The 12,687-nt window shown below is 46.7% G+C and overlaps 1 annotated feature.

Annotated features, from left to right (window-relative positions):
- Positions 210-289: an enhancer, noted in NCBI's record as "active region_24450". NCBI's record gives its function as "activates an Ori minimal core promoter by ATAC-STARR-seq in GM12878 lymphoblastoid cells {active_cell/tissue: GM12878}" and the evidence as "EXISTENCE:reporter gene assay evidence [ECO:0000049][PMID:35858748]".

Raw genomic sequence — 12,687 nt, forward strand, 5'->3', positions numbered from 1 at the left:
CCACCAGGGGGTGGCAGTGGTCAGCAGGCCACATGCAGTGGCCCCAGCAGTGGCCAGAACACCCTCAGCTGCTCTCAGCAGGTCCAGCCATTGCTGGGCTCTGCCCTGAAAGGAGGAAGCATGGATGAGTCACAGGTTTTTGTCCCATCACAGGCCCAGCAGCTTTGCCTGCCTCCAACCTGAGGCCACTTCCCTCCTGTAGGGTGTTTGTTTGTTTATTTGAGACAGGGTTTTGCTCTGTCATCCAGGCTGGAGTGCAGTGGTGTGATCAGAGCCCACTGGAACCTTGACCTTCTGGGTTTAAGCTATCCTCCTTCCTCAGCCTCCTGAGTATCTAGAAGCACAGGTGCACGCCACCACATCCAGCTAATTTTTAAAATTTTTGTAGAGATGGGGTCTCACTATATTGCCCAGACTGACCTCAAACTCCTGAGCTCAAGCAATCCTCCTGCCTTGGCCTCCTAAAGTGTTGGCATTATAGGCATGAGCCACCATGCCCGGACAGCATCAGCATTTTATTTATTTTTTATTTTTATTTTTATTTTTGAGATGGAGTCTGTCACTCTGTCACCCAGGCTGGAGTGCAGTGACGCCATCTTGGCTCACTGCAACCTCTGCCTCCCAGGTTCAAGTGATTCTCCTACCTCAACCTTCCAAGTAGCTGGGATTACAGGCGTGCGCCACCATGCCCGGCTAATTTTTGTATTTTTAGTAGAGACGGGGTTTCACCATATTGGCCAGGCTGGTCTCAAACTCCTGAACTCCGGTGATCCACCCATCTCAGCCTCCCAAAGTACTGGGATTACAGGCATGAGCCACTGCACCTGGCCTGCATCAGCATTTTAAAACTCGCCAATGATGCTGAAGGCAGCTGGCTCGGTGACAGCAGAGTCGATTCTGCAGCACTGATACCTAAGCTTTTCCAGGGGTTTAATCTGAGTGGGAGTATGGAGAGTGGCTTCACTGTGGAGCAAAATGAGGTAGCCGTCAGGAGAGGGAAGCGAGGGCACACAACCTTTGTGCTGTCATTGTTAGGTTTACTGAGGTGTAATTTACAGACTGTAAAATCCACCCTTATTAGTATATTTTCTAAGTTTTGGCAGAAGAGTACAGTCATACAGCTACCACCACAATCCCCCTATAAGTGTCCCCATGCCACCCTTTGTAGTCAACCCACACCCCTACTCCTTGCCTCTGGTAACCATTGATCTGTTTCTGACTGATAATTTTGCCTTTTCCAGATGTCATTTAAATGGAACCATAGCTTTTTAAGCCTGGCTTCCTTTACTCAGCATTATATATTTGAGATTCATCCATTTTGTTCTCCATGTCAGTAGTTCATTCCTTTTTCATTGCTGAGTAGTATTCCATTGCATGGGCATACCACAGTTGTTCATCTGTTTACCAGGTTAAGTATACTTGGGTTATTTCCAGTTTGGGGCAATTATGAATAATACTCCTATGAACTATAAACGTTCATGTTCAGTGTTTGTGTGAGCACGTTTTCTTTTCTCTTAGGTAAATACCTAAAATTGGGTCACTGAGTAAGTGTCTAACTTTATCAGAAACTACCAAGCTGTTTTCCATATTGGTTGTACCATTCTGCATTCCTACCAGCAATGTATGACATTTCCCCTGCTCATGCATTTGGTATAGTCAGGTTTGAAGTTTGTTTTTTTAAAATTAATAATTTTAGACATTCTGGTGAATGTATAGGGCTCATGACCTTTTAAATGTTTATGATACAAAGAAATGCATACAGGCTCACATCTGTAATCCCAGCACTTTGGGAGGTCAAGGCAGGAGGATCGCTTGAGCCCAGGAGTTTGAGTCTGTAATGAGCTATGATTGTACCACTGCACTCCAGCATGGGTGACAGACTGAGACCCTGTCTCAAAATGAAAAAAAAGTAGGTATTTTGCAAATGATTATTACCTACTATGTGTACCTAATACGTGCCAGGTAGTATACTACTTATACTACTTTTTCTTTTCTTTTTTTTTTTTTTTTGAGATGGAGTTTTGCTCTTGTTGTCCAGACTGAAGTGCAGTGGCACGATCTCCGCTCACTGCAACCTCTGCCTCCCAGGTTCAAGCGATTCTCCTGCCTCAGCCTCCCAAGTAGCTGACATTACAGGTATGCACCACCACGCCCAGCTAATTTTGTATTTTTAGTAGAGACGGGGTTTCACCATGTTGGCCAGGCTGGTCTCAAACTCCTGACCTCAGGTGACCCACCTGCCTTGGCCTCCCAAAGTGCTGGGATTACAGGTGTGAGCCACCACGCCTGGCAAGGTAATATGCTACTACTTTCCAAATCTCAGGGGCAGCTGATATCATGCAAAGGGCACCCCCTTGATAGCCTGAAAAGCTCAAATTCCAGTTCTGTTGAAGGCTTGACATAGGGTCTTGGGGATATCACCCAACCTCTTGAGCCTCCATGTATTCATTGTAACTTGACAAGCAGTGCCTCTTTGTAGGATTTGGTGTGAAAACCAAGTGAGATAATTCAGGGAAAGCTCCTAGCCCACAGACGGAGCTCGCTGGCTGGGAGTTGTTACTAGCTATGCTCTTCATGGACGTTTCTGCTTTCCTGGGACCATTTGTTCTGGCCGCAAGCCTGGTTGCTTCTACCTTCAGGATATACTGCGAACAGAGCCCGTCCTCACACCTCATACCCCTCACATGCTGTCACTTGGCCCGGCCACTGTGATATCTCTGGGGGTGATTGCTAGAGCTTCCCACCTGCCCTTCCTGCTCCCACACTTGTCCTCTGGCATCTTCACACAGATTCTTTCAAATCTGAAAGCTGAGCTAGTTTTCAGCTCCCAGCCCTCCAGTAGCATGGGGTTAGAAGCCCATCTAATGCCTCCCTCCGTGTGCTCCACCAGGCCCTTTGGGATGACCCCTGGCTGCTTCTCAGAGTTCCCCCTTCCCTTGCCCCATCTCACCTCCCTCCCTCAGCACACTTCCACCTCAGGACTCTTGCACCTGCTGCTCGTTCAGCCTGGATGCTGTTCCTCCAGAAATCCGCCCGATGCACTCCCTCACTTCTCTCCAGTCTCTGCCTCATTGGCCCTCGGACAGGCTTCCTTGTCCACCTGCCTCACGTAGTGCTCCTGGCAACTCTGCCCCTGACTCTGCTTCACATAATACAAATCGTTTTATCTATTTTGTTTCTTTCTTTCTTTTTTTTTTTCTTTAGACGGAGTCTCGCTCTGTCACCCAGGCTGGAGTGCAGTGGTGCGAGTGGCAAGCTCCGCCTCCCGGGTCCATGCCATTCTCCTGCCTCAGCCTCCTGAGTAGCTGAGACTACAGGCGCCCGCCACTGCGCTGGGCTAATTTTTTTGTATTTTTAGTAGAGACAGGGTTTCACCGTGGTCTCGATCTCCTGACCTCGTAATCCACACGCCTCGGCCTCCCGAAGTGCTGGGATTACAGGCGTGAGCCACCGCACCCGGCTTCTATTTTATGTTTCTTAGATTAGTGTCCTGTCTCCATTTTTGGAGGGCAGAGAGTTGGTCTTTTGTTCACTGCTGTTTCCCAGTGCCTGGCCCACAGCCAGTCCTCAATAAAAATCTGGGGACTGGCTGGGAGTGGTGGCTCACAACTGTAATCCCAGCACTTTGGGAGGCTGAGGCGGGCAGATCACATGAGATCAGGAGTTTGAGACCATCCTGGGCAACATGGTGAAACCCTGTCACTACCAGAAAATACAAAAATTAGCTGGACATGGTGGCACACGCCTGTAGTACCAGCTACTTGGGAGGCTGAGGCAGGAGAATCGCTTGAACCTGGGAGGCGGAGGTTGCAGTGAGCCGAGATGGCACCACTGCACTCCAGCCTCAGTGACAGAGTGAGACTCTGTCTCAAACAAAACAAAACAAAAGATCTGGGGACTGACAGAATGAATTGTGTGACTCAGACACGACAAGGCCATCACCTCGTACTTACTAATCATCGCCACCACTATGTCCATGAGGTCATGGGACTTTCACATCTTTCCACTTCCCCAGCATGACGCTCTGTTATTCGTCTCTGTATCCCAGGGCTTAGCATGTAGCAAGTGCTTGAAAAATACCCTCTGGCCTGGATTCACGCCAGCTCTGCCCACCCTCCAACACAGTACATTTTCATTTTCTTCCTTGAGGTGACTGGAGGTCAAAGAGGTAAAATGATGTGTCCAAGGCACGTAGCATTCCTGTGCACTCTCTCAGGGACCGGGACGCAGGTCTCCAACCTCTGACAGTGACCCCACACCTTTGTCCTCACCTTACTGCCTGTCCCGCCCTCATGGCTTGATACCAGGACCTGCTTCTTTTTGAAGATGGCCACAATGAGAGTATTTCCACCATGGAAATTGGCAAACATGAAAATTGGCATGTCAGCCCCTCTGACCTGTCATCCCCCAACAAAGAGCTAGTTGTTCCATTTTTACCAGCACCTCACTGGACAGGGAGCCTGGCATTCTGGGGAGACTGAGGGAAGCCATCTTAGCTCACATAGCCCTGTCTCGATCTTACAACCAGACCACAAGCCCCTCGAGGGTGGCCAAGATGCCTTATCCATCTCTTTTCCCCACTCCTGTCCTCACTCTCTGTCCTGGGCTTGCTGCCAGCTAGATTTGGGCCTAGGGAAACACTGAGCTTCTTCAGGTTGAAGGCCAAGGTAGGGGTGAGGGCATCTTCCTACTGGTACTGCTGGCCTGCCCTGGCCTCTGCCTGGCCACCGTATTCCTGTTCTTACTGCCTGGGGGAGCTGAGCACTGACATGCTAGAGCCATTTCCACCTCTGAACTGTTCTTCTCACCCTCTTCTCTCTATGATTCTCAGATTTCTCATCTTTGCCATTATCATGTCTCACTTTCTTTTTTTCTAGGAATAAAAACAAAAGTTAATTTTTGATGAGCACTTACCATGTGCTTTCTTTTTATTGGCTCATGTAATCCTTATACCAGCTCCATTGTACAGAATGAGAACAGAGAGGCACAGAGAGGTTCAGCAACTTGCCCAAAATCACACAGCTGGTAAATAGGGAAGCCAGAGCTCAGTCTAGATGATCCGAGACCTCTCTGGAAAGCAGCAGTGAGCACATCAGACTTAGAATTGTAAAACATGGGTTTGAATACAGGCTCTGTCACCTCCTGTGACTTTGCTGTCTAGGTCTCAGCTTCCTTCCTCATTCACAAGGTGGGACGATGAACATGCACCCCATCCATTCATAGGGTCATTTCAAAGTCAAATTATGTAACAGGCGTAAAAGGATATTGAAAATGGGAAAGTGGGCTGGACGCGGTGGCTCATGCCTGTAATCTCAGCACTTTGGGAGGCTGAGGCAGGCAGATCACTTGAGGCCAGAAATTTGAGACCAGCCCGGCTAACATGGCGAAACCCCTTCTCTACTAAATATACAAAAATTAGCCAGGCTGGTGCATGCCTGTAATCCCAGCTATTTAGAAGTCTGAGGCAGGAGAATCACTTGAACTGGGGAGGCAGAGTTTGCAGTGAGCCAAGTTCATGCCACTGCACTCCAGCCTGGGCGACAGAGCAAGACTCCATCTCAAAAATTAAAAAAAAAAAAAAAAAGAAAAAGAAAAGAAAAGAAAAAAAGAAAGAAAGAAAGAAAAGAAAATGGTAAAGTGCTCAGCAAATGAGTGGATTATTAGTATATGGTTCTGTTTTCCAATTTTGATTTCCTCTCTTGCCTCTCAGAAGAATTCTTTGTCTGCTTCTGTTGTACCAGCATGCACAGTGCCCAGCAAGCTCCCAGATGCAGAGGCGATCAGGCAGTGTTGACTTCTCTTCCTGTGTTCTCTGCTGGGCTCTAATTTCTCTGATTTTTTTTTTTTTTTTTTTTTGAGATCGAGTCTCGCTCTGTCGCCCAGGCTGGAGTGCAATGGCACAGTCTCGGCTCACTGCAACCTCTGCCTCCCAGGTTCAAGTGATTCTTCCACCTCAGACTCCCAAGTAGCTGGAATTACAGGCGCATGCCACCACGCCCAGCTAATTTTTTTATTTTTGTAGAGACGGGGGTCTCACCATGTTGGCCAGGCTGGTCTCGAACTCCTGACCTCAGGTGATCCTCCCGCCTTGGCCTCCCAAAGTGCTGGGATTACAAGCGTGAGCCACCGTGCCCGGCTCTAATTTCTCATGTCTTTCAAGGAGACTCAATTCACCTCTCCTTTTCTCTTTCCATCATCAAGCCCAGACTCAGAGAGTGGGTGGGTTCACCCCAGCAGGCTCCTAGTGCTCAGACCAACACCAGTACTGCCACTCCTTGAATGGAGTCAGTACATGAATACATCTTAGACGTTTTAATGAAAGCCAGTTGGAAGTTATGCTTCACTTTCTAGAAACAGGCTTGAGTAAACTTTTTAGAAACATATTTATTTTTGTGGAGCAAGGCAATATATCCTGGTCTGACTTTATTTTTAAAATTATTTTGGGGGGTGGGGGTAAGGGGAGGGAGAGCATTAGGACAAATAGCTAATGCATACAGGGCTTAAAACCTAGATGACGGGTTGATAAGTGCAGCAAACCACCATGGCACATGCATACCTATGTAACAAACCTGCACACTCTGCATATGTATCCCGGAACTTAAAGTAAAATAAATAAACACATAAATACATAAAATTATTTTTAATATACAATAATCCCTTGCTATCCATGGGAGATTGGTTCTGGGAACCGTCCCCCCTCCACCGCAGATACCAAAATCTTCAGATGCTCAAGTCCCTGATATAAAATGGTACCATATTTGCATGTAACCTATGCCCATCCTTCCACATACTTTAAATCGGGGGGGGGTCCCCAAACCCCAGACCGTGGACCAGTACCAGCCTATACCTGTCAGGAACAGAGCCACACAGCAGGAGGCAGGCATCTGGCAAGCTAGCATGACCGTATGAGCTCCCCCTCCTGTCAGATCAGCAGCGGCATTAGATTCTCAGAGGCGCGCAAACCGTATTGCAAACTGAGCATTCGAGGGGTCTAGGCTGCGCGCTCTTTATGAGACTATAACGCCTGATGATCTGAGGTGGAACAGTTTTATGCCCCGGTCAATGGAAAAATTGTCTTCCACAAAACCAGTCCCTGGTGTCAAAAAGTTTGGAGATTGCTGCTTTAAATCATCTCTAGATTATTTATAATGTCTAATATACTGTAAAAAATATGTAAATAGGCTGGGCATGGTGGCTTACACCTGTAATCCTAGCATTTTGGGAGGCCGAGGTGGGCGGACCACCTGAGGTCAGGAGTTTGAGACCAGCCTGGCCAACATGGCGAAACCCCGTCTCTACTAAAAATACAAAAATTAGCTCGGTGTGGTGGTGCGCTCCTGTAATCCCAGCTACTGGGGAAGCTGAGGCAGGAGAATGGCTTGAACCCAAGAGGGGGAGGTTGCAGTGAGCCAAGATCACGCCATTGCACTCCAGGCTGGGTGACAGAGCAAGACTCCATCTCAAAAAAAAAAAAAAAAAAAAATAGCCGGGTGTGGTGGCAGGCACCTACCTGTAATCACAGCTACTCAAGAGGCTGAGGTAGGAGAATCACTTGAACCCAGGAGGCAGAAGTTGCAGTGAGCCAAGATCATGCCATTGCACTCCAGCCTGGGTGACAATAGTGAGACTGTCTCAAAAAAAAAAAAAAGTATATGTATACGTAAATAGTTGTTAGGCTATATTGTTTAGAGAACAATGATTTTTTTTTTTGAGACAGGGTCTCACACCATCACCCAGGTTGAAGTGCAGTGGCCTAATCTCGGCTCACTGCAGTCTCCATCTCCCAGGCTCAAGTAATCCTCCCACCTCGGTCTCCTGAGTAGCTGGGACTACAGGCACATGCCACCACATTCAGCTAATTTTTTTGTATTTTTGGTAGAGATGGGGTTTTGCCATGTTCCTCAGGCTGGAAGAATAATGATTCTTTTTAAAGTCTATATGTATTCAGTACAGATGCAAACACCCATTTTAAAAAATATTTTTGATTCATGGTTGGTTAAATCTGTGGATATGGAACCCACAGATATGGAGGGCTGACTGTATTTTATCATGTCATTAGAATACATCACTTTTTTTGAAGCATAATTTAAAATAAAGTGCATAGAACTTAAGTGTATGGATTGATGACTTTTCATGTGTGTTCACCCACGTAACCATCAAGATCCAGAATGAAGGCTCAGAAGACGTCCAGGGCCCCGGAGGGCTCCCTTGTGCCCCCTCCCAGTCAGTACCCACCCCGCAGTAGTGATTTAATTTTGGATAGGCAATACATTCACATGGTACAATTCAAAAAGTACAAAAGGTAAACTAGAAAATCTCCCTCCCATCCTGCTGCCAGAGACCCATTTTTTGGAGGGGTGGAGGAGAGACAGGGTCTTGCTCTGTCACCCAAGCTGGAGTGCAGTGACACAATCACGGCTCACTACAGCCTTAACCTCCCCGGCTCAAGTGATCCTCCCACCTCAACCTCCTGAATAGCTGGGACTACAGGCGCACTCAGCTGTACCTGGCTAATTGTTTGTATTTTTTGTAGATACAGAGTCTCACCATGTTGTCCAGGCTAGTCTCGAACTCCTGGGCTCAACCCATCTGCTCAGCTCAGCCTCCCAAAGTGTTGAGATTACAGGTGTGAGCCACTGCGTCCAGCCTCAGACACGCATTTTTTCTCCCATGAGAAAATATTACTGGTTTCTTGCAGACGCTTCCAAAGAAAGGAGATACACACACTTTATATATTATATCATATCATATTATACTATATTAATTTTCTCACCTTTTTACACAAAAGATACATAACTAGTCAATTGTGTACTTTTTGCTTAACAACTTACAATGCTAGAATCATTTCAATAATTAGCAAATTAATATATTTACCAAAAAGTGCCCCTTACAAAAGAGTTGGTTTATTAAAATTCAAACCTTCATTACCAAACACTTCAATGATGCTTGGCTTTACAGCCCTCTGAAGGTCCTTAGGCAGTAAGCCCTGCTGCTACATCAGAAAATGCAATTCAATTAGGAAGACGTGATTCATGTTAACTTCTCGGCAGCCCTCCCAATAAACCGTGCTGTGAGATTCTGCCGTCTTGGTATTACCTCTTCCTTTATAGCTGTTATCAATAATAACCACACGGATTTATATTAGCAGTAACTCATGAGCTCTAAAGAACATGTGTAAGACACACACAAAAATGTGACTGAAATTTGAAGCATAAATTGTGGAATTTCTCAAAGGCCTGAATTATTGGAGCTTATTAGGTTGAGGTGAATCAAAGTGGAAAGAACTATTTTGCCCTTTTAGATGTATTAAGCAGTTTTCCTGGGAAATTGGTCAAGAGAACCGACTGGTGTTGTGTGAACTTCTCGGAAAGAGCAGGTCTGGCCCTGCCAGAAGGCAGCTGAGAGAGTTGGGCTGGGCTGAGTTCCAGGAAACAGAGTAGGGGCTAGTTAGGAGTGGGAAGGCTAGCAGGATGATGCAAATTCAAATCCCCAGGTACATCAGCAAGGCCAGAGGGTATAAACAGAGCCCCAAACCAGAGCCACAGCCAGTGGGCAGGGCTCTGGAGCTGGACTGGCTGAGAATGGGCTTAGGTGCAAGTTGGGAGACACTGGATCATCGCCAAGAATAAGGGCAAAGTCTGGCCGAGCGCAGTGGCTCACACCTGTAATCCTAGCACTTTGGGAGGCCAAGGCGGGCAGATCATGAGGACAGGAGTTCGAGACCAGCCTGGCCAATATGGTGAAACCTCGTCTCTACTAAAAATACAAAAATTAGCCGGGCGTGGTGGCACGTGCCTGTAGTCCTAGCTACTCAGGAGGCTGAGGCAGTAGAATTGCTTGAACCCAGGAGGCGGAGGTTGCAGGGAGCCGAGACTGCACCACTGCACCACAGCCTGGGTGACAGAGCGAGACTCCATCTCAAAAAAAAAAAAAAAAAAAAAAAAAAAAAGAATAAGGGCAGGGCAAAGTCCACTAGTCTCTGGGAGAGTGTGTGGGGCACGCTGACTCAGTATGGGAACAGATACATATGGGCTTTGCAAAGGGTCCGCATGGAGAATTGTAACAATAATAGCCCCAAACAGAATCAAGTTCCCTGTGTCCATGCTCTTTTGCAATGTAACTTTGTTGCTTCCACTACCACAAGGTGGAATCTATTTCACCATCCCTTGAATCTGAGTTGGTCTTGTGACTTGCTGTGACCAATAGGATGTGGCAGAAGTGATGCTGAGCAGGCCGGGCGTGGTGGCTAATGCCTGAAATCCCAGCACTTTGGGAGGCAGAGGTGGGTGGATCGCTTGAGGCCAAGAGTTTGAGATCAGCCTGGGCAATGGTAAAATCCAGTCTCTACAAAAAAATTTTTTTAAAATTTAGCCAGGCATGGTGGTATGTACCTGTAGTCCCAGCTACTCTGGAGGCTGAGGTGGGAGGATCACTTGAGCCCAGGGGGCCAAGGTTGCAGTAAGCTATGATCACGCCATTGCACTCCAGCCTTGGTGACAGAGTGAGACTCCATCTCAAAAAAAAAAAAAGTGATGCTGGGCAGCTTCTGAGGCTGGGCTTCTGCTTTCGTGCTTTTGGAGTGCTTTCATAATTACGTGAGGAACCTGGCCTGAAAGACCACAGGAAGAGAGAGGCCCAGGCACCCCAGCCAGTCTAGACCACCTAACCCAGCGAAGCCATTAGCAGACTGTTGCTGTGTGAATGAAAACAGCAGAGGAACCATCTAGCCAACCCACAGAATTGCAAGAATAATAAACAGCTGTTCTAAGTCACTAAGTTTAGGGATGGTTTGTTACACAGCATTACATAACTGATACATCCATCTACACTATCAGCGTACCACTCAGGTCAACAAAGGGTATCTCATGTTGTGCAAACTCAGAATTGAGACCCAAATTGTAAGCATTTTATGTGTTAATAATTATATTCTCCAGAACCCTTTCACATGTTCCTTTTATTTTTCTGAGGCAGGGTCTTGCTCTGCAGCCCAGGCTGGAGTATACTGGCATGATCGTGGCTCACTGAAGCCTTAACCCTCTGGGATCAAGTAATCCTTCCACCTCAGTCTCCTGAGTAGCTGGGACCACAGAAACATGCCACCATGCGTGGGTAATTTTTGTTTGTTTGTTTGTTTTGAGATGGAGTCTCTCTCTTTCGCCCAGGCTGGAGTGCAGTGGCACAATCTCGGCTCACTGAAAGCTCCGCCTCCCGGGTTCACGTCTTTCTCCTGCCTCAACCTCCCGAGTAGCTGGGACTACAGGCGCCCGCCACTGCGCCTGGCTAATTTTTTTTTTGTTTGTATTTTTTTAGTAGAGACGGGGTTTCACTGTGTTAGCCAGGATGGTCTCGATCTCCTTATCTAGTGATCCACTTGCCTCGGCCTCCCAAAGTGCTGGGATTACAGGCGTGAGCCACCACGCCCGGCCATGACTGGCTAATTTTTTAAATTTTTTGTAGAGATGGGATTGCACCATGTTGCCCAGGCTGTTCTCAAATTCCTGGGCTCAAGCAATCCGCCTGCCTCGGCCTTGAAAAGTGCTAGGATTACAGGCATGAGCCACCACGCTCAGCTCCACAGGTTCTATCTAATTTGTCATGACAACCCATTGAGAAAGAGGAAAAGGAAATGTGGTATCTCTCCATTAAACAGATAAGAAAACTGAGGCTCAGAGAGATATGTGGCTGTCCCAAGATTACTCAGCAAATCAGTAAAGGTGCTGTTATAGACTGAACTGTGTCCCCCCAAAACTTATATGATGAAGCCCTAGTCCCCAGTGTGATTATATTTGGAGATAGGACCTTTAAAGAGGTAATTAAGATTAAAGGAGGTCATAAGGGCCTTAATCCAACATGACTGGTATCATAAGTAAAAGAAGAGACAGGCCGCGTATGGTGGCTCACGCCTGTAATCCCAGCAATTTGGGAGGCTAAGGCGGGAGGATTGCCTGAGGTCAGGAGTTTGTGACCAGACTGGCCAACATGGTGAAACCCTGTCTTTACTAAAAATACAAAAATTAGCTGGGCGTGGTTGTGGGCGCCTGTAATCCCAGCTACTCAGGAGGCTGAGGCAGGAGAATCACTTGAACCCAGGAAGTGGAGGTTGCAGTGAGCTGAGATCGTGCCACTGCACTCCAGCCTGGGCAACAAGAGTGAAACTCTGTCTTAAAAAAAGAAAAAAAAAGAAAAAGAAGAGACATCAGGGATGCGTGTGCAGAGGAAAGGCAGCAGTGAGAAGGCGGCCGTCTGCAAGTCAAGGAAAGAGGCCTCAGGAGAAAAAAACCTGTGATACTTTGATCTTAGACTTGCAGCCTCCAGAACTATGAGACAATAAATTTCTGTTGTTTAAGCGACCCAGTTTGTGGTATTTTCTTATGGCAGAAACTAATATAGCAACTAAACTAGCAAACTAATATAGATACCGCTACTCAAATTTAGCTCTTATGCTTTCTTAGAAGGAATTTTCTTAAAACAATGACATACCATTTCTTGCATATCAAATTGGCAGAGATTTTTAATTAAAAGATAAACTTAGTGCTAGTAAAGATACAGAGAAATTGACTTTCTCAATCACCAGGGGTTGGAATCTAAATTAGTACAACTTTCTAAAGGAGATTTGGCAATACATATAGAAAGTCTTTAAAATCTACTTACTAACATATGGTAATAGCAAAATATTGGAAATAACCT

This window comes from Homo sapiens, chromosome 6 (assembly GCF_000001405.40).
Source record: "Homo sapiens chromosome 6, GRCh38.p14 Primary Assembly".
NCBI lineage: Eukaryota > Metazoa > Chordata > Mammalia > Primates > Hominidae > Homo > Homo sapiens.